The following is a 21,999-nucleotide window of genomic DNA, read 5'->3' as shown; positions in this document are numbered from 1 at the left end:
ACCACAAAAGGACAAGCTGCAAGGCAACCGATTCTGAACTCTGGGCTTGCTGCTTTCTCCCTCAACCCTTCCTGAGTCCTCTCAACTGTCCCATCTTAGAAGGACAGAGAAAAATGTGAAAATTTCCCACTGTGACTTCTGCAAACGTGGGCAGAGCCACTGAAAGTCAGGCCTGTTTAAGGGCCACCCTGCTACTCAGCCCTAACAAAGTGATAACTCAGAGTGGTATGAGCAGTTTATATACCAGCAGTTTGAAACAGGATCAGGGACCTAGAGGCTTTCAAGAAAAGTGGGAAAGAAAGTGCTGGTCTTTAAGGAGAGTAACTTGAGGTGAAAGTTGAAGACTCAAGGCTCCAAGCTAGGTGTTTCTCCTTAGCTCCTCTTCTGCCATAATGGCCCCACATCTCCTGGCAGGGGAAGTCAAGGCTAACAGTGGAGCCTCGGCCTGACCTGCCCCCTGGCCTGGCAACATGCTGAGCTGACCCCCAAAGAGGAACTGCTCATTCACGGGGCTACAGACACGATGTTTCCACTGGCCACACCACGGTCTGTGCCAAGGCACTTGGGGCAAGTCAGCAGGCCCAGCCCAGGGACAGCAGCTGAAATTGAAACTGTCATTCATTTTCTGACCATTAAGAAAACTGGGCAGTATCTCCCTTGGCAATAATTTACTCTCCCTACTTCTACTGGAAATTAATAGATCTTGGGATAAGCATAACATGTTTATGCTTGCTTGTCCCCACTGATAGAATCTCTCTCAAAATATTTTCCCAATTTCCATTTTTCACAAAGAGTGACTGCTAGATACATATTCTACTAAGAACACTTTTTGACTGATCCTCCTTTATTTTACATATCAGATTTCTTATTTAAAATCTTTAAGGGGGTCCAAGGCACAAAGGAAGGTAGTAACACCCAATATCAGCAAAGGTTTCAGGAAACCGCACTTTCACTGCTGATTAGGCATGAAATGACTGGTGTCACTTGGACCTGGACAGTATCTCCTGGCCAATCTCATTCTCCAACGACCAGCAGAGGCTTGAAACCTGCTACACATTATGCTTGACCCCACTGGGTCCGCTAGGAGACATCACTTCCACCTGCAGCAGGGCCTGATCAAAGCTTTACTTAGGGTGGTGCCTGAGAGCTGATCCTACTCAGCCAGCAACAACCTGATGGCTCCAACTGCTGTGCCCTGCAAGGGGGACTGCAGAAGGCCACTGGGCCATAGGCACCACTATGGGACCACACTCACCCAAGACAAAAAGAGACTTCTACCAGGCCATTTTCCCCTCCCAGTATCTTACAGCATGATCTCCTTCCAAAAACCATGGACAGAGTTGGGGCTCCTTCCTGCAGCCCACCTGGAGGCATACTATAATTTATCCTCATATGCAAATCTTCCCCCCAAAACACATTTTTCCTCATGATGATTTCTTTTCAGAATCGTCCAAAGGCTGCCACTTTCTACAAGTCTAAATGCTTCTGCTGGCTATGCATGTCTCCACACTTTGGCTTGTTCCATTTCTCCAACATCAAGTCCAACTAGGCAGCCCCCACTGGCCTCACTCACCCATGATCATGGCCTCAGCTCAGCCTTCTGGCCCCTCTCAGAGATTTCTCCTTTCCCTCTCCCTCAACATCCTCTAGTTTTTCCTCCATCAACTCAGACCCAATCCATAATGCAAGGCCCAATCTTAGTGCTCTCTTTTACAGGAATATCCTTCCTCTCTAAACAAAAGCATCTATGTCTCCACAATCTAGTAGTTAAATACCATTTTGTTCACCATTTCTAAATGTGACATGGTCCTCCTCATGAGCTCCTCAAAAGGGCAGAATGCCCACCTTTACCATCCTGGACATATTTAAGGCACTAGACAAATACCTGATGGTGTCTGTGTCTGGAAGGGCTGTTACCTCTCACAACATATATAAACTAAATGCTTAAAAAGATCCCAGCTCTTGCTTCCCAGGGAGCCTCTCCTCCTACACCCCATTCCAGACCCCAGTCGTGGCAAACTCTGAGACTTCTGCCTGTAGACAGCCTGCATTTCAGCTCACATCAAAGCATGAAACAAAGGACTTCACAACACCCCTAGCCCCCTTCAGGCTCCAGAGCTCTTCAAGGGCACCCTGTTTAAACAGGAGGTACAGTATATTTTTGGGAAATGATGAAGCAACTTCCCATAAGAGGAAAGTAAAAATTCCCCAAGTGAAAAAAAAAAAAAAAAAAAAAAAAGGCTTCTTGGAAAACAGAACAGCTTCCCTGCCAGGGCAGACAGAAAGGATTTGACATTCAGGCTTTTCATCCTTGGCAAAGCCTGTTCTAGGAGAGACAGGGCTGCAGGGGAAAAAAGGGAGGCAACTTCTTATGATCAGATGTGGAACTCAGCATAGTTTTCAGAGTTGCAGTCTCAACCAAACACTTCATCTGATATTGCCCAAGGTGCCACTGGGACTCCACCCTCCCACTTTCTCTTTCTCTTAGATGCCTTAAACAACAAATGTGATTATAAAAAATTAGGGGAAAATGTAATCTTATTATAGATAAACCAGAGCCCTTGCTCTTTAAAACAATTGCACAGTGACTCCTTCAGTGGATGGCAAAATCTTTTTGCAATAACTATACTCTGTTTTTTTTTAATTGGGGAGAGTTTTAAATTTGTATTTCATACATTTGGTTTGATTACAAGGATTGTTTTTCTCATATGTGCCAGAGGGCCTGGGTTCCACGGGAAGAGACATGGGCAAAGTAGGGCAGAATGAGAAAATTGGTACCATTCTGCTTGATATGCAAGGCTTACCTAATTACTTCTTGTATTTTACCACTTCTTCTTTCTCTCTTTTTTTGAGACAAGTTTTCACTCTGTCACCCAGGCTTGACTGCAGTGGCATAATCATAGCTCACCAATGCCTCAAACTCCTGGGCTCAAAAGATCCTCCCGCCTCAGCCTCCCGAGTAGCTGGGATTCCAGGCATGCATTACTATGCATGGCTAAATTTCAGAATTTTTTTCTAGTAGAGATGGGGCCTCGCTGTATTGCCCAGGCTGGTCTTGAATTCCTGGCCTCAAGTGGTCTTCCCACCTTGGCCTCCCGAAGCGCTAGGATTAAAGCATGAACCACCCCACCAGGCCTATATTTCATTTCTCAAACTACTACTAATCAAACATTACAGCAACATTAGCAGTACTCTTCAAGTAACAAGACAAGCATTACCCACAAAAGAAACTTCTCTCTGATGCATGTCCATATGAAAACATATTTTTCAACATTTAACACAGTATTTAACACAGTAACCCAGAATTTGTGAGTGCTCAGACCCCACTTCTTTAGCCGTAAGCCCTTTTCATGAACTTGAGAATTCATACCCACCTAGCCTGTTTGCAACAGACTAAAAGGCAGCATGCAACAGATCCAATCCTACCTTTGCCATGATCACTGCAATGTGAGCCAAGGAAATAATTTTTCCCCCATTTTACTATCTTACTTTTCCCATCTTTATAGCGACCATTCTCAAGAAGTAATGAAAAGGCTATAAATAAGTTGCCAAAGAAAGTCAACTCTTTCAGATGTTAACAATGACATGAAGATTCCTGCAATCAAAGTCTCCCACTTCAGATCCCCCTACGGGGCCGTCCCCTTCTCTGGCCCACCACAACCCTCCTACTGCAGGCCACTTACGTCAGCAGTCTTCCAAGCAGGAGCCCCCTTTTCTCCACATCCATGTGGATTTCTGCTATAAAGCTCTTTCAGAAAATAAGTTAATCTGCTTAATTTGCATGTCTAACAGATGTCCAGGGTTTATAAAGTTTTATTTTTTTAGGCTGCTAAAGGGGAGGCAGGAGGCTAGGTGTGGCTAAATGGGAAAAACAGCACCATCCAGAATTTTTTCCCTGAGCAGGACCTTTCTGCAGACAGCATTAATGCATACACGTATTTCATGTACCATTTTTAAAATATGACAGATGTCAATGTACTACTTTTTCAAAATGCACAATAATTGGTGGTAGCGAAGGGTGAGGGACTAGTTGTTGCCATCAGACTGTTCAGTGCATTCCCTCCCTGAAGGAAAGGCATGTAGGAAGACAATTTATAAGGATATCAACATCAGCTCTTAACCACAAAAAAGGCATCTTCCTTTTGTGCAACTACTGAAGAACTAGGCTGCAAAACAACTGGGGCCAACACTGTAAATAAAATTTATGGGTAGGAAACTTTTGGGGAAGGGATGGAGATGTATCAGCCTTCCCCAAACAAAGCTACAAGTGCAACAAAGACCAAGATAACTTTGCTGAGTCTTCGTTTTGACTGGAAAGGCTATCAGTGGGAAGACTAAAGGAATCATCCTCATAGAATTCATACTTGTTGAGTTTTGTAGGGTCTGAGAGACAAAAAAGATCTCCCCCAGCAGACAAAGGGGGAACAACATTTGAGTTGGAGGGAACAGCATAAGCAAGGCTTTGGGGGCACATACCACAGTATACTAGGAAAATAAATAAAAATGAGATGCCTGGTGAGATTCCAGGACAGAGGATAGGATACAGAAGCAGCTGGCAAGAAAGCTGAAAGTACAGATGAGGGTTATATTGCTAAGAAGAATGGACCTTACCATAAGTCTTATGGGACCCTGAGTTTGTTTTCTTTTGTTTTAAGAGGAGAAGTAGCATCATGCCAAGTATGAGATTCTGAGAGTTATTCTGGCAGGGTGGAAGACAGATTTGTGGGAAGAAGGGTGAGAAAGACACTGGAGACACGGAAACCAGTAAGAGCCTGGTGAGAGATGATGGGGCCTTGGATGTCAGCAATGTAATTTTTTTCCTTAGAGGAGGCCATTGTTTATATCCTTGACTGCAGTTAACCAGTCAGCTGCCTACACACCTTCCCACTCCAGCACAAACACAACCAGGAGTAAGGGCACTGATGCCTTGACAGAAACTCAAGTATCCAGTGGAAACTGGGGCATGTGGGTTAGGGGCTGCAGAGAGGGATTTTGCTTCCAGAATCCCTGTCACTGGTGGGTTCTGGGCCTCTGAACAGCCAACTGCAAAACCAGTGAACCCAAGGATCCAAAATGAGAGTGTACACCATTCTTAAGGAGAGACTGCTGAACTCTGCAAAATGCTAGGAGGCTCTCTTGAACAAAAGGGATCTGAAGAAGGTGGCTAAATCCCTATTCCCACATACTGCCCTTCCAAAAAATTATATTCAGATAGGGAAGATGTTCCATTCAGGCCATATAAGTGTTTCTGAGAAGGCATAAAATTAAAAACTATTCCTAGTGGTTGAAGGGCCTGGGAATTGGCAGACGCCACCCATAAAAATACTTTCCAAAACTTCTACGAGAAAATATAAAAGCCCATCTTTATGAAATTTGGATAGGAAATAATTTCTTAAACAAGAAACCTACCAGACAGGAAAAAAATATTTTAAAAATTGACATAGTAAAATAATAGTGGTTCTCAAACTCTTTGCTCTCAGGTTCCTTTACACCAGGGGTGTCCAATCTTTCGGCTTCCCTGGGCCACATTGAAAGAAGAATTGTTTTGGGCCACACATAAAATACACTAACACTAACAATAGCTGATGAGCTTTAAAAAAAAAAAAAAGCAAAATAAACTCATAATATTTTAAGAAAGTTTATGAATTTGTGTTAGGCCACATGCAGCCCATGGGCCGTGGGTTGAACAAGCTTGCTTTACACTACTAAAAATTATTGAGGATGCCCAAAGAATTTGTGTGTTACACCTATCAATATTACCATATTTGAAAATAGAACTAAAAATTTTACATATTTATAATTCATTTTAAAATAACAATAAACCCACAGATGTTAACATCAATGATCACAACACATGCCATATAGCTTCTGTAAACTCAACTATTCACTCATGAAACAATGAGTGCAAAAAAGGCAAACAGGATCTTAGTATGTAATATAGCATCTTAATATGAAAATAATTTCAACCCTGTCAATCCCCTAAAAGGATCTCAAAGGTCCTTGAAAACCACTGCCGTAAGAAAAGTTCAAAAAATCTACAAATTGGGAGAGGATAATCAAGGAAATACAAAATTAAAGCCTTAAGGAGATTCCATTTCATGTCCATCAAACTGGCAAAAATTAACACCTAACAATACCAGTTGTTGTAAAGCATATGGAGATATAAGAATCTTCTTATACATCAGTAGTAGTGTAAACTGGTACAATTACTGTGAAGAATATGCAGAAAGTTGAAGTGCATTTCCAACAATCCGGAACTCTCCTGCCAGGTGTAGATACCAGAGAAATTCTGCACACATGCTTAGGACACATGCACAAGGATGTTCCTTGCAGCATTGTTTTTTTAACAACTTCTTTTCTTTTGTTAACTATTTTTCTTTTTCTGAGATAGGGTCTTGCTCTGTTGCCCAGGCTGGAGTGCAGTGGCACATTTATGGCTCACTGCAACCTTGGCCTCCGGGACTCAAGTGACCCTCTCACCTCACCCTCCCGAAGAGCTGGGATTAAAGGTATGTGCCACCACACCTGGCTAATTTTTGTATTTTTTGTAGAGACAGGGTTTCATCATGTTGGCCAGGCTGGTCTCAAACTCCTGGGCTCAAGCGATCTGCCCACCTCGGCCTCTCAAAGTGCTGGGATTACAGGTGTGAGCCATCATGCCCAGCCGCAGCATTGTTTTTAACAGTGAACAACTGGAGTCGCCCATAGATCCATCAGTGAGAGAATGGTTATAAATATTTTGTTATTAATACAATTATACTGTTACATATCATCACTGCAAATAATTGCAACATATAATTTACAACTATAGTTTGTAATCAATAATTATAAATATATATTTATATAATTATATATAATTATAAATTATGTTACAATATGTAATATACACTTATATTAACACAATGGAATGCTATACTGCAGGTAAAAGAAATGTACTAACATAGCCAAATGTCAAAAGAAATCTTGAGTGAAAAAAGTATGCTACGGAAGGTTACATACTTTTTTTTTTTCCCAAGAGAGTCCCTGGATCTGTTCCATCCAAACACTGTTGAAGCAGGAACACCAAATGCACTGCACATTTTTAAACACATAAAACAATATTCTGTATTTCTTAGGAATACAGGTTTAAGTATCCAAAAACAGAAATGGTTGGAATGATGCACATCAACTTAGGATACTGGTCATCTCTGGAGGAAAAGGTCTGAAGCAAGTATGGCAAAATATTAAATCTGGGAGGCAAGTATCCATGTGTGATTACACTCGTCTCCATTTTTTAAGTTTACAGTGGAACACATTACATGTTTATAAGTGTTAATTCTTTTCGCCTATAGTATTTTTACAATGCCTCCAACCTAAGGCATATCACTTCTTAACAGGGTATTTGGTAACTTGGTGATTGTTTTCTAATCTTTATAACCACCCTAGGTACCATATGGTCACAAAATATAGAAATAAATAATTAGATTCATCAAGACTGCTAAATCCTCTGGCAGATCTGTTTCTACTCACCCCCTGATTGACCATGCAGCTGTCTCCACTGCTGCCACCCACCCCACCCACTCCCCTCTGCAAAACAGTCATCTGAAAGCTAAGCTACCAAACAGGTCTGTAAAAACACTTTTCTTTTTTTTTTTTTTTTTGAGACGGAGTCTCACTCTGTGGCCCAGGCTGGAGCGCGGTGGCGTGATCTTGGCTCACTGGAAGCTCCGCCTCCCAGGTTCATGCCATTCTCCTGCCTCAGCCTCCCAAGTAGCTGGGACTACAGGCGTCCACCACCACGCCCAGCTAATTTTTTTTGTATTTTTAGTAGAGACGGGGTTTCACCGTGTTAGCCAGGATAGTCTCGATCTCCTGACCTTGTGATCCACCCGCCTCGGCCTCCCAAAGTGCTGGGATTACAGGCGTAAGCCACCACGCCCGGCGTAACAGAGTAACATGAGTAACTCTGAGCAAGGCCAGAACTTTGTTTCAAAGGTACTCAGACTCAGTGGGTTTCCCCACCTGCCTTCAAATCAAGCTGGCAGACAGACTGACCCAGGTGCTGTCAGAGTCAACTTAACTTACACAATTTATTATCCACTGTCCCCATTCCTCCTTGGTTTCATCCTAAACACTCTTAGTCCTCTTCTCATCAAGTAAGACCTCTATGATATCAAAACCCAGGTCCCTGGTTCCTAATGCTTTCTGCAACACTAAGGGCATGAGAACACCTTGGGTTATGGTGTTTCTCAAAGCCTGGGCCACCTCACCACCTTCACCATAATAACGGGAGCAGCTGACTGACCAAACAGTTTCTGCCTCTGGAAAGGAACAAATGAAATCTATACCTTTCGGTTCTTCTCTTCAGGCAGGAGACCTTGAGAGGCTGGGGAACTGTTCTACATTATTAGCAAACTTTTAAAGAATGCAGATTGCTGGGCTGTACAGAGATCTACTAAATGGTTCTTTGTGGGCAAAATATGTGGGAATCTCATTTTAAAAAGCACAGTAAAGGCTGTGGGCGGTGGCTCATGCCTATAATCCCAGCACTCTGGGAGGCCAAGGCATGAGGACTGCTTGAGCCTAAGAGTTCAAGACCCACCTGGGCAACATACTAAGATGTCATCTCTAAAAAAACAATTTTTTTAAAAAATAAAAACATTAGCCAGGCATGGTGGCATGCACCTGTAGTCCCAGCTACTCAGAAGGCTGAGGTGGGAAGACTGCTTTAGCCCAGGAGGTGGAGGCTGCAATGAGCCGTGATTACCCACCACACTCCAATCTGGGAAACAGAGCAAGAACCTGTCTCAAAAAGGAAAAAAAAAAAAAGAAAAAGCACAGTAAAGTTGGAGGAGCATCACCCCAGAGGATACTGGTTTTCTAAGTCTGAAGAAGGAAACAAACCTTACCACCTTCTTTGTATCCCCGAGTCTGAGGTAGTCATATAGGAACCAAAACTCCTCCTCACCTCTCTCTTGGTTTGAGTATTGCCTTTCCACCATGCCCAATTCAAGTCTTGGCTCTTCTGGGGAAGCCTCCCTAGACAGACATCAGGGTTAATTCTCTTCTTTCTAATAGCATTCAGTACCTGAATCACTCAAGGGCAACTAAGATGAATTGTCTTATCTTTTCCCCCCATTAGACTGTGAGACCCTGACTTCCTTGTACAAGACCCAATGCATACATAATAGGTTCTTAACACTTAAGTGGTTGAAGTCATACTAAAGACAATAGCATGGGAAGTCAGCGTTAAAAACAAAACCAAACCATCAAACAAAACAACATAGTACAAAAAGCAGAGCCAGGCATGGTGACTCCCACCTGTAATCCCAGCCACTCAGGTGGGAGAACAGCTTCAGGCCAGGAGTTCTAGACCAGCCTGGACAACACAGTGAAACCTCATCTCTAAAAATAATAACAATAATAAACAAAAAGTATTTGATTTGTAATGGGAAGGCCTAGGTTGAATTCTGGCTTTGTCCTTTACTGGCTGTGATGGTTTACCGTGAGGACAACAATATGACATGATATACAAGCAAGTGTTTGTACATCTTGTCAACTGCCAATAGTGATTAGCTGTTGCAGCTATTGCTACCTGCTATTTCTCTGACATCAAGTGGTGGTTCATATTATTTATTCCTCTTCAGGCCCAAGAAAAAAAAAAAGCACAGAAACTGAAGTTGCAACTATAAAAACAGATAGAGAAAGAAAGCCCCAGAGACTACAGTTCCCAAGGTTTGAGTTTAGCCACCATCCTGCTGGAATCTCACCTACCTAGTCCTCTGGACGTCCACCAGGGCCAGGAGGAGGTGCTGGGAACACACTCAGTTACTAGGACAGTGCCTGGCACACACCCCAGGCAGTCTGTAAATGTTGAGTGATGAAAATGAGTAATGAAAAGCTTGCATATATATTGCCTGGGATAAAAAGAGAATTCTCATGGGGACCCTCTTCCACCTGCACACCAAGAACTAAGCAGTTTTATAGAAGCAAGGTGAGCAAAACTGAGGCCCCCAGGTAGGTGTGAACTTAAGCACGGCAACAGTCTCAGCTTCTGGAAACAGTGTCAAAGCCAGTCATTAAAACCATCTTCAAACCATTCTTCCAGTAAATGAAAAAGCTGAGTGCAGTTTCCAGTTGTCTCAGATTAAAGCAGAGGGGTGGGGGGGAAATGAGAAACAGAGTCAGGGTTTCCAATTACTGCTAACAGGAGGGTGTTCAGAAGGGAGGAAATTAATGAAATCATCAAAAGCCTGCTGATTTTACTTCAAATGAATCAAATCAACTTTAATCTTCCCTGTTTCAACAGAGACTTCAGGCTAGTCAGTGCCTGAGCTACCTGAAAGTTGCCCAGGCTGGATCAGAGGGGCTAAGTAACAATTAACCAAGGCCGAAAAATTTGTTTTGCCCCTTCAGATAGAGGCTGAAAAGACAGGGCCAGGCAGGCTGTACTAACTCTAATTCTCTCCAAGCCAGGAGTCTTCTGGCTTGCCAATACAAACACCATCAGGCTCTGGTGGGAAATAAAGGCTGAAAACGGGGTCAAATTCAATCTGAAGAACAGCAAATTCCCCTAGGACAGTGAAAACATTCCCAGCTACCCTAGACAAAGTGGGCAGAAGAGACAAGGAGGAAGAGTGGGGAGCTCTGGAGGAACCCCTCACATAGATGGCTTGCATAGGGTGTTTTATGATTGTCTTGTGTATACTTTTAACCCCCAAAGCACTCGACGTACATGCTAGCTCTGCCAGAGTGCTGAGGAGTAAAAATGAGTACAAAGGAAGCAGGGAAGGAAGGATGGAAGCGAGGAGGGCAAAGGAAGACAACTGTACCAAGTTAAGAAGAAGCGAGAAAAGAAGAGGTAGCTGGATACAACCGCTTATTCCATCCATCCAGTAAGCATGCACACAGGCCTACCATGAGCCACACACTGTGCCAGGCAGTGGGGAATGTCGAATAACAATCCTGAGCACCCTGGAAACCAGAGCTGATCAGACAGCCTGTGAAGCTGGCAGTGGGGTAAGATAGGCAGGCACGACAGTGATGCAGTCATTCTCTCTGTAGGCAGGTGTTATGGCAGCAGCACAACTGCAGGTGCCAATGACTCCAAAAAGAAAAGTTATTCTCTCCAATTCCCAAACTTGTCTCTAGTTTCACTTTTGGCGAGCCAGTCTCTGGATGGGATTCTGATCAACAGAAGTTCTCATACACGGAAAAAATAAAAAACAAGTAACAAGCCAGCAGAAGTTCCTGACCCTGAGGAGGAAGCTGTCAGGGTAAATCATTAAAGAACCCAGAATATCAGAGCACAAAAGGCACCAGAGAGCTAGTCCACACTCACATTACCCTTGAGTAACATGAGGTGCCTTCAGTTACTGTCCATTAGAGGCAGTGCTAGGGCCGATGCCCAGGACCCCGGCTCAGGGTCCCGTTCTTCATACCACAGAGCCCAGACTGAGGAAAGGCATCCGAAAATGCAGACTTTTAGAACTCACTGCTGCCTCAGGGGGCAGAATAGGAAATGAAAATGATCCAGCCCCGGGGCTCACCAGGTCTGGCTCCTTGCTGTAGGGTAGTATGCAAGGACCAGACCAGCATGGAGAAGAGATACATCTGCCAGCATCCTCCCTTAACCTCTTCTCAGTTTTATTAGGTTGGCCCACCTGCAGTAGCCTATTTCTGAGAGGGCCACTTGTCTCCCTAGTGGGTTCAAGATTTCTCCACCCACTCTGTCCTCACCTCAGCAAAATTTGCTCTGAAAAGAGTCAGACAGGTTTTTTTCAGCCCAAGTATAAATTGGTGGTTCTCAAAGTTTGGTCTTCAGACCAGCAGCAGCTGCTGCTTCATGTCTACCAAGTTCTTCTTTAGGGAACTTGGTAGACATGCACATTTTTAAACCACATCCTAGACCTACTGAACCAGAAACTCTGGGGATGGGACCCAGCAATCTGTGTTTAACAAGCCCTCTAGAGGAATCTGATGCTAGCTCAAATTTGAAACTCACTAGTGCAAATAACCTCCAAGGTCCAGCCTGTTGGTTCTCTCATGAGTATGTGCCTCTTCACTGGCACACCTGAATGACCTCTAGAGTTTCAAACCTGGGAGCCCACACATCTGCCACTGGAGGAAGGAGGAACTTCCCAACTCAGTATATCCTCCTCCTGCTTCCAGGGTTCAAGACTCTGTGCAAGAGAGTACAAAAGGTGAGGACGGAACTGCCCTTTAAGCCTTGACCAGAGGCAGGGAAGTACAAGCTTGGAAAAAGGTCCTGATGACTCTGAATGGCCTCACCTAGTACTGTGAACAAAACAGGACCTTTTCATGCCAGCTCTAGGCTGGTGAGACCAGCCTTCGGAAGGGACACAGGTGGACCAATGCACCTAGGCCTTTCCTTGACTGGAGAGTCGGCCTAAGGCTGATCTGCTCAGATCCCACCCTGCCAAACTGGACTGCAATACTTGGTCTGCAGCAAAACTGGCCTGAGCAGGACACTCGGGGGTGCTCTGTGAAGTTTCAACATGAGACCTGAAGAATACACCAAGCACCTGCTGTGGGTCCCCCTGACACTTCCTGGTACACATCAGAGGGGAGAGTGTGTTCCCACTGCCATGTGCCAGGCAGTTAGCACTGTGATGCAGAACCTGGCATCTCAAGTACTTCCACCACAGCCTAATAGGACAGAATGAAGAAATCTGCCAGCCCCCTCTCTGCTTCCCTGTTCTTTGCCCCAAAGCTGCTCTTCTTAGCCTTCTGCTTCTCCAGCTCCTATCAAGTTTCATTTCCAGCAGGAACTCTGGCTTCTCAGAGGAAAATGACTGACTGACTTCTAGGTCATTCAAAATCCTGACTATGACAGCCTTGTCTGACATGACCAATTATTCATGAAAAAAAAAATTTTAATGATCCCTCCTCTCTCTTCTCACCTTCTTTATTCCCAGGAATGAGGCATTATCACATTTAGAAGTCCAAGCTTTAGATTTCGATTCCATAGGTTTGGGCTTCAAGCTCAAGATGTGGGGGTTTGTTGGAAACTTGTGTTTGATCTTGCATACAAAGGGGGGCTATTAAATGCCAGCCTCCAACCAGGGATGGATGGTGGATTAACCAGTTAGTGTTAACGAAGTGCTCTGAGCAATTCAGAAAAGAGATGCTGACTGAAAAAATAGTATTATAATAATCCATTCCATTGAAATAGACTTTTATTGTTTACCCGGGACTTTTACATATATTATCTCACTTAATCCTATTATTCACAATCTTAACTATTCCTCCAAGGCCAGGGTCTGCGTTACTGGTGACAGATTTTCTGAATGCCAGAGAGAGGAGCCAGTTGAACAGCAAAGCCTCTAAACTGCCTAACAACAAGGTATTGAGAACAATAGCACCAAGAAAGGGTTCCTTTGCTGAAAGCCACTCAAAGAAACCTGAGACACATCTCTGCTGGAAGTCACAATAGTTCTCTGCACCCCTGAACACATCAAATCACAGACAGTCCTCACCCCAACTTCTCCAATTACCCCAGCCTGATCCAAGAGGACAAATCCTGGAATACATCTGAAGGGCCCAGACGCCAGCTGCTCCTCCACTCTTCTCCCTTCCCCAAGCAATTAAGAACCTCTGACACCCTCCAGCCTCCCCATGGAATTTGTGACGCCAGATAAGACCCACATGGGACCCCACGCGGTACATCAGACTTGCTGAAATAAGGAGTCTTTGTCAGACATGCCTCCTACGAGTTGGCTGAACTGAGGCCAGGTGATGAGAGTCAAGAAGCATGCACTCCTGTGGCCTGTCCTGAGTGACCTCTTCCCTCGGACCAGAAGGGCAGCCTCACCTAGCCCATCACTTCCTGTCCCATAGGCAAATAGGTGCCCACTGCTATTCTTCTCATCCCCAATCCTCTCCCACAAATTGTACCTAAAATTAACATCCTCCTTCCAACCCTCTTTCCTTTCCTGTTTAGACTCATTCAACTTCTTGATTCATTAGCTAGAGTTTGTTTTTTCTTTAACTCTTTGATCCTTAGGATACTCCAAGAGAGCTTGTTTCTCTTCTTCCTCCTCCTCCTCCACAATTCTGACAATTCAGCCAGGACAGGCACCTGCCTCCACTAGCAGCATCTCAGTCCTATCTGGGTGCTTCCTCAAACTGTGCTTTTGGTGTGCTCAACCTAAATCCCTGAATTCTTAGGCTAAGGTTAGACTTTATTTTTCTTTTTTGAAACTACAGCTACTGAACATACTCCACCAGAGTGAAAGAGAACACTTCTTCATTCACAGGGCAAGAAACAAATTAGTTTAGGGAATACAGTATATTGGACATCCAAAGTTTCAACAGTGACATGGGAAGTTCCCAGGAAAGGAAGTGCTGAGATGAGCAGAGCAGACACCATACTCTCTTCCTCTCCTCCCTCCAGACTCCCCGCAACAGCGGGCTGTACCTGCCACTGGCAAGTGCCACATTTTAACAACGATGATGATAACAGCAACATTTCATCTTCACCACAACCCTATATGGTATGTACGTTATCATCCCAATTTTACAGATATGAAGAACTGAGGGACGTAGAGTTCGAGAAACTTGCTTAAAATTACACACTACTGGCAGAACTAGGATTCAAACCAGCGTGTCTGGCCCAAGGCACTGCCTTCTTCACCTGACTATGCCACCTTGTCTCCCCATACTCGTTAACTCACTTGCCTTTAGATCTCAGTGTAGACTTCTCTCCCTCAGAAAAGCCTTCCATGACCAATTCAAGCTGAGTCAGGAGACCCCCTAATGAGTATTCCTGTGTAGTGCAGTACTTTCCTGATTATAGCATGTATCACATGGAATTGTTCTATTTTCAGTAGCTGGCACAGTCTTGGCATTCAGCAGGAATTCAACGAGTACCTGTGGAATAAATCAGAGTGCTAAACCATAACTCTGCATTCCTCCAGTGCAGAGCACAGTTCCTGGCTGCTGCTGCCCTCCTCTCACAGGCTTACTACATATGATTAACTTCTGTCAAGATCCAGCCTAGTACCTCATCCCCAGAAAGCCCTCTGTGGCATTACATAGCTCCTGCCCACCTTATGTCAACACATACTTGCTTAAGGAGTTAACACTCATGAAAATACAAAACCCAATCTGCCCCACAGCAACCCTACCAAAACCCAGGGTCATTAGGGTTTGGAGCAAGGTCTATAGCGTTCATGTACCATGATGTACAGAACAAAAGGTTCAAGTTCCCCAAAGCTGCAATTACCAGAGGTCATAAAAAGCTGGCCAATCCTTTCAAATCAAAGTCAGTCAAGATTCTAAGAGTTGGAATCCTGCTCCTAGGAAAACCTGTCTGACATCCTCCCAAGAGAAAGAACTACGACTAGGAGCTCTTGTTAATTCCATTCAATAAACACACACAAAGCCCACTCTCCTTCCTTCAGACCCTATTAATTCTAGTGGTAAGAGAGATGGGTGATGTTCCACAGAAGAAGCTAAGTTGGACTTTGAAGGATAAAGAGAAGTATGGGAGGAAAAGGCAGGAGGTAGAATTCTAGCCACAGGAAGAACCAGGTGAGAATAAGCTTGAAGATGTTTAGGGGAGAAGGAGTTGTCCCTTAGCCTTGATCTTTAGAAACAGACGTAGAGGTAGAGGAAGCTGTGGCTGCAAAGGCAGTAGGCAAGAAAGTGAAGCCAAACCCCACCCAAGTGGCACTCTCATGCCCCTCTCTAATGTCAGGATATGTTTACAGCCAGCATGATTTCCATATACATTCCTCCTTCACTTCCCACTGGTAATGAAAGCGTACCTTTCCTCCCTCCTTGAACTAGGCAATTCTTACTCTGCTATAAAGAAATACTTGAGGCCAGGAGCACTGGCTCAGGCCTGTAATCCCAGCACTTTGGGAGGCCGAGGCAGGTGGATCACGAGGTCAAGAGATCGAGACCATCCTGGCCAACATGGTGAAACTCCGTCTCTATTAAAAATACAAAAATTAGCCAGGCATGGTGGCACATGCCTGTAATCCCAGCTACTTGGGAGGCTGCGGCAGGAGAATCGTTTGAACCTGGGAGGTGGAGGTTGCAGTGAGCCGAGATCGCGCCACTGCACTCCAGCCTGGCGACAAAGCGAGACTCTGTCTCAAAAAAAAAAAAAAAAAAAAGAAAAGAAAAGAAAAAAAATACTTGAGACTGGGTAATTCATTAAAAAAGAGATTTTTTTTTTTAACTGGCTCACGGTTCTGCAAGCTGTACAGGAAGCATAGTGGCATGTGCTTCTGGGGAGGCCTCAAGAAGCTTTCAATCATGGTGGAAGGCAAAGAGGGAACAGGCACATCACATGGTGAGAATGAGAACGAAAGGGAGAAAGTGGAGGTGGGGAGGGGGTGCTACATATTTTTAAACCACCAGATCTCATGTGAACTCAGAGAGCTCACCATCAAGGGGATCGCCCAAGCCATTCATGAGGAATCTGCTCCCATGATCCAAACACCTCCCACCAAGCCCCAACTTCAACACTGGCAATTACAATTTAACATGAGATTTGGTAGGGGTATACTTTCTTTCTTTTCCTTTTCTTTTTTTTTTTTTGAGACGAATTCTTGCTCTTATTGCCCAGGCTGGAGTGCAGTGATGCAATCTTGGCTCACTGCAACCTCCACCTCCCAGGTTCAAGCGATTTTCCTGCCTCAGCCTCCCAAGTAGCTGGGATTACAGGTGTGCATCACCACGCCCGGCTGATTTTTGTGTTTTTAGTGGAGACAGGGTTTCACCATGTTGGCCGGGCTGGTCTCAAACTCCTGACCTCAAATGATATACCCGCCTCAGCCTCCCAAAGTGCTGGGATTACAGGCATGAGCCACTGCACCCAGCTGGGGATATACTTTCAAACTATATAACTCTTCATCACCTAACAGGATCCACACTGGGTTCGAAATCCTCACCCAAGCTAAAGGTAGCATACTCTGCAACGTACTCTTCTAGGCAGGTTGCCTGGGCCCTCTCTTTTCTCCACAGAAGAGCCCCACCACCTGCATCCCTGAGGCATGAAAACACTTTCACGTGCTCCTCCACTTCCTCCCCAGAAGGCTGGGGACAGAATACTATGAGGAACCATCACTCAGTGGGAAGCCCCCACACACTGCTACTGCTCACTGGGCCCTGGACTTGCTCCTGCTTTCCTCACACAGAGGACAAGCCATGATTCTGGATCATCCTATGGGGTAAACCCACCTATGGAGTACCTTTCCCACAATGCGTGTGTTGGATCTACTGGGATGATCACTGGCCTGGCTGTAGCAAAGGAGCAACATAAAAAGGATTTTGTCTCTGTGTTCAACGAGCTTATATGCAAACACATATGGAATCAAGAACAAAGAACAAGAATCAAAAACAAAGAGCAAAACCAAAGAAATAAAACCGAAAGCAGTGTGTACAGATATCAAAGCTCAGAGAGGTGTGTGAGAGGTATAAAACAGAGAGCCACACAGCCTACTGAAGGGCTCCAGCTAACTTCATGGGCCGCTAATCAGAAACTGAGCAACCGCCAGGCACAGTGGCTCACACCTGTAGTCCCAGCACTTTGGGAGGCTGAGGCGGGCGGATCACAAGGTCAGGAGATGGAGACCATCCTGGCTAACACGGTGAAACCCCGTCTCTACTAAAAATACAAAAAAAAAAAAATTAGCTGGGTGTGGCGGCGGGTGTCTGTAGTCCCAGCTACTCGGGAGGCTGAGACAGGAGAATGGCGTGAACCCAGGAGGCGGAGCTTGCAGTGAGCCGAGATTGCACCACTGCACTCCAGCCTGGGCGACAGAGCGAGACTCCGTCTCAAAAAAAAAAAAAAAAAAAAAAAAGAAACTGTGAGCAACCATGCACAGTTATCAAGGAGCCTTAGTGGGGCTGCACTGGCTGAAGACTCCACTGGGTCATTTGCAATCCAGCCTCTGGATCATAATGAGATCAACAGGGAAAAAGAGAAATCCAAGACTTTTCTCCTATCTGCCACCAAACCCCTCTGTGCCTAGACCAGTGCTCAGGAAACACTGACAGGCTGATCCTCATACCCACTCAGTCATAGTCTAGTGTGCAACAATCCCAATGACATTCTCTGGTGCCTCTTACCATAGCCAGGGTCAACAAGGCCGAATCATCAGAAGCCAAGCCAGTGACAATAAACACAAAGGTCCCGCCCTCTCCCAAGGAGACATGTGTCTACTACATGGGAAGAATTGATCAAGCCCTTTGTATTTCATAGAGTGTCACTTGTTACTCAGAATAACAAAGGATGAAGCAGAATTATTTTATAGCCCTGTTTTTACTTGGTCATAACTTCCTGAAACACATTTTGTGCCCCCTCCCCACTGAAATACCAAAAATACTTTTGTGATTTAAAAAGAATGAAAAAAAAAACTTGGCCAAGAAATCTTGAAGACAATCTGTTTACCTTCCCTGCACTACTTCCCAGAATTTTGGATGACTAAACAATTCTCCTTTAAAAGATCTGGTTACTGGCAAAGCTAATAAGTCAAAGAAGTTAAACAAGAAAAAAATCTCCATCACCAGGGATGCCAATAAATCTAGGTAGAAAGGGGCTCCTAAAAGAAGAAATACCAATATAGCTACGAAAAGCAAGAGGAAGCAAAAGGACTACCAAATGGGAAAAAGATATTTCTTATTTTTTAATTCTAATGTTATATTCTCCCAGTTGTGTTTTGGAATCATGTAAAATGCAACCTTCCAATCACATCACTGTGCTGACGAAATAAAAAATGTCTTTAAAAGAACAGATCCTTGGCATTCTCATATTTAATATGTAAAGTTTCAAAACTGACTCCAAATGTTCCTAACAAATAGCATCCCTGAGGAATATCAGCTCTGAAATACCAACAGGGTAGCCTCCCTGAAGAGAACAAATAGTTCACAGTGAGATCACTTAGCTGATCTCACTCCAGCACCAACATCTCAGAAGGGCATTTACCACTCTTTGCTACTCGTCTTCATGTATGGGAAACCAACATGTGTTATTTGAGAATTTAGGGACTCAGAAAACCTCACGAATATCAAGGATCTAACTCTACTCAGTATGCACTGAATTGATTCAAACAGAATCCAAGAGATATGGAAGAAACAGGGAGCACGTTCCAACCTGAGTCTGTCTGAACCAAGCAGCTGTGGTGTCATAAAACCAGAAGTGTGGAATGATATCAATTGGTGCTAGGATCTGATCTTCCAATATGGGAATATTTATTTGTGTACCGAGCAATGTTCCAAATGCCTTACATATACTATCTTATTTGATCCTCACTACAATCTTATAAAGCAGACATTATCATCCCCATTCTGGTGAAATACAGACAGTGAAGTCACAAAAATTATCCAAGGCAACACAAGCAGCAAGGAATGCAAGCAGTATTCAACCCAGACAATCTGACTCCAGAGTACATGCTTTTCATCAGACTATGCAGTCATTCCAAAAAACAAGGTGAAGAGTTGAAGCATAATGGTACCTAGATATAATACTCAGTTATACTCATGATCTCAGTGGCTCCATGAGAGCTGCAGGTGGTATTTACTATTTTGAGGTGTACATGAATTGAATCCCACTCCACCTCATAAGAGACAGCTATGTGAAGAAATCCTAGGGACAATCCTGTTCTTAAAAAGTTATAGTCAGTCAGGTGCAGTGGCTAATGCCTGTAATCCCAGCACTTTGGGAGGCCAAGGCGGGTGGATCGTTTGAGCCCAGGAGTTCAAGACCAGCCTGGGCAAACCCAGCAAAACCCATCTCTACAAAAATATTTTTAAAAAACTAGCCAGGTGTGGTGATGCATGCCTATAGTCCCAGCTACTCAGGAGGCTAAGGTGGTGAGGCGGGAGGATCACTTTAACCCAGGAGGCAGAAGTTGCGGTGAGCTGTGACAGAGCCACTGCACTCCAACCTGGGCAACTGAGTGAAACCCTGTCTCAGAAAAAAAAAGTTATAGTCACACCCTCATCTTTCAGTGAATTCGGATTTTCATGTGTTAAATTAGCTGAAGATGAGGTCGATGAACAGGGCTGGAAAGAAGTCAGCAGCCAGGGAACTCCTCATTCACATTGCACCATGGAAACGTTATCTCTAAATGTTTCTGTCCCTCTGGGCCCCAAAGCTAAATCTGAGGCAGGCCAAGGTCTCTCCTGATCTGATCCCAGTCCAGGCAGCCAGGCACACCAGCACAGGCCACCTGGAAGGGCTCCTCACACCCTCTGCAGGCTCCCACTCCCAAGTGATGCACTGCACTCTTCCAGTGGGTAAGAAGTGGTGAGAGGTGTTCATCTGGAAACCTACCTAGAATCATTGAAGACTGAGTGTTAACCCTAATTTTTGTTTTATTAGCATCCTGTGCCTCTCTTTTGCAGAAAGTCGGGTAGGTAAGAAGAATAACCTCTAAGCTGGCAAGTTAGCAGGGTAGTGGGGCACCATTGCTCAGCAGATGGAATCTGTGTTTAATGAGGACTTTAACCCAATAGGGACCCAGTTACGTGGACTCTGGGTTTCTTTTATTAGAAAGTTACAGTGCGAGGGTGGTACCATGTGTTGTCAATGTTTTAAACATGGCACAACAATTAGTGTGCAGAGGGTAATTTCTCAATGCCTTTTCATGACACTAGGGTTCATCGAGAACTATAATGACCCATCCAGCCTCCTACCATAATCTCTAAGTTTTTTTTATAGTCACAGGTAATTACACCATGGAGAGATTACATCACTTTCATCAACAGGGTTTGCAGCTGACAGGAAGATGCTTTGCGGATGTTTTGGGAACTATATCCTCATTTAGCAAACTATTTACTACGTCCCTATTGTTCCTTTCCAAGAATAGAACCACCTTGGCAAACCTTGTGCCTAAACTGGAACCAAACAACCAAGAGCCACTGTAGATGAGAACAGAAACAACCACAGAGGGCCAGGCGCAGTGGCTCATGCCTGTAATCCCAGCACTCTGGGAGGCCGAGGTGGAAGGATCATGAGGTCAGGAGATCGAGACCATCCTGGCTAACACTGTGAAACCCCATCTCCACCAAAAAATACAAAAACATTAGCTGGGCGTGGTGGCGGGCGCCTGTGGTACCAGCTACTCGGGAGACTGAGGCAGAAGAATGGCGTGAACCTGGAAGGTGGAGCTTGCAGTGAGCCGAGATCGCGCCACTGTACTCCAGCCTGGGCAACACAGTGAGATTCCATCTCAAATAAAAAAAAAAAAAAAGAAACAACCATAGTGGGAAACATGGTGACCCAGAGATGACTCTTGTATCCTTTTTATCCATCAGGAGAAAACATCATCTCTTTCTTCCTCCATCAGAATAATTTTCTGGAGGCTGATCTGAGCACTTCAAACAGGAAATACAAAAAACAGGTCTCAGTGAAGCCTGTCACTCAGCACAGGTAGCGTGGCTCCCAGAAAAGACCATAGGCAAGAGTCAGACATACTGAGCACAAATCCCAGCCAGCCTCACCACTTAAAATCATCAGTTTCTGAACAAGTTATTGAACCTGTCTCTGGTTCAGTTTCTCCTTTATAAAATGGTTGCACAACTGCCTAGCTGGGGTGTTCTGAGAGCTTTATATGGAACGATAACAGAGCCTGACACATAAGTGATGCTCTATACACATTAGTTTCCCATTTGTTTTCTCCTCTCAACTCAGTGTACATTCTCTCTGACTCGAGGGTCCTTCCAAGATGAGGTGAGCCAGGGCCACCTGCCAACATCTCTCTGCTACAGGCTAAAGCCAAGTCATCTCCCAGAGAACCTAGTTCTCAACACTTTCCATTTTCAATGAAAACTAACTGCCTGGCTTTCTGTCATGTAGAAATGCAGATGGCTGTTTTCCCTGCTATTCTAAAATTGTTTTAGGTGATTGTGTGATGTTTAACACGGCCTAACATGTCATGGCAACATTTTAAGGGGAAAAAAATCAGAAACAAGTAAAATACTGAGTTTGTTTAGTAAATAAGCTCAGGAAAGAAAGAGAATGCAAACAAAAACTTTTTATGA

General features: G+C 44.4%; 1 protein-coding gene across 1 annotated transcript in view, besides 3 other annotated features; it reads right to left on the bottom strand.

Moving 5' to 3' along the window:
- Positions 1–21,999, bottom strand: part of SUSD6 (sushi domain containing 6) — a 103,549-nt gene that overhangs the window by 29,958 nt on the left and 51,592 nt on the right. The gene's annotated exons all lie outside the window — the stretch shown is intronic.
- Positions 17,132–17,191: an enhancer, noted in NCBI's record as "active region_8645". NCBI's record gives its function as "activates an Ori minimal core promoter by ATAC-STARR-seq in GM12878 lymphoblastoid cells {active_cell/tissue: GM12878}" and the evidence as "EXISTENCE:reporter gene assay evidence [ECO:0000049][PMID:35858748]".
- Positions 17,262–17,381: an enhancer, noted in NCBI's record as "active region_8644". NCBI's record gives its function as "activates an Ori minimal core promoter by ATAC-STARR-seq in GM12878 lymphoblastoid cells {active_cell/tissue: GM12878}" and the evidence as "EXISTENCE:reporter gene assay evidence [ECO:0000049][PMID:35858748]".
- Positions 17,812–18,051: an enhancer, noted in NCBI's record as "active region_8643". NCBI's record gives its function as "activates an Ori minimal core promoter by ATAC-STARR-seq in GM12878 lymphoblastoid cells {active_cell/tissue: GM12878}" and the evidence as "EXISTENCE:reporter gene assay evidence [ECO:0000049][PMID:35858748]".

The sequence above is a fragment of the Homo sapiens genome, chromosome 14 (genome assembly GCF_000001405.40).
Source record: "Homo sapiens chromosome 14, GRCh38.p14 Primary Assembly".
Lineage (NCBI taxonomy): Eukaryota > Metazoa > Chordata > Mammalia > Primates > Hominidae > Homo > Homo sapiens.
The sequence above is the reverse complement of the archived record's forward strand: the minus strand, read 5'-3'. Positions and strand labels throughout refer to the sequence as shown.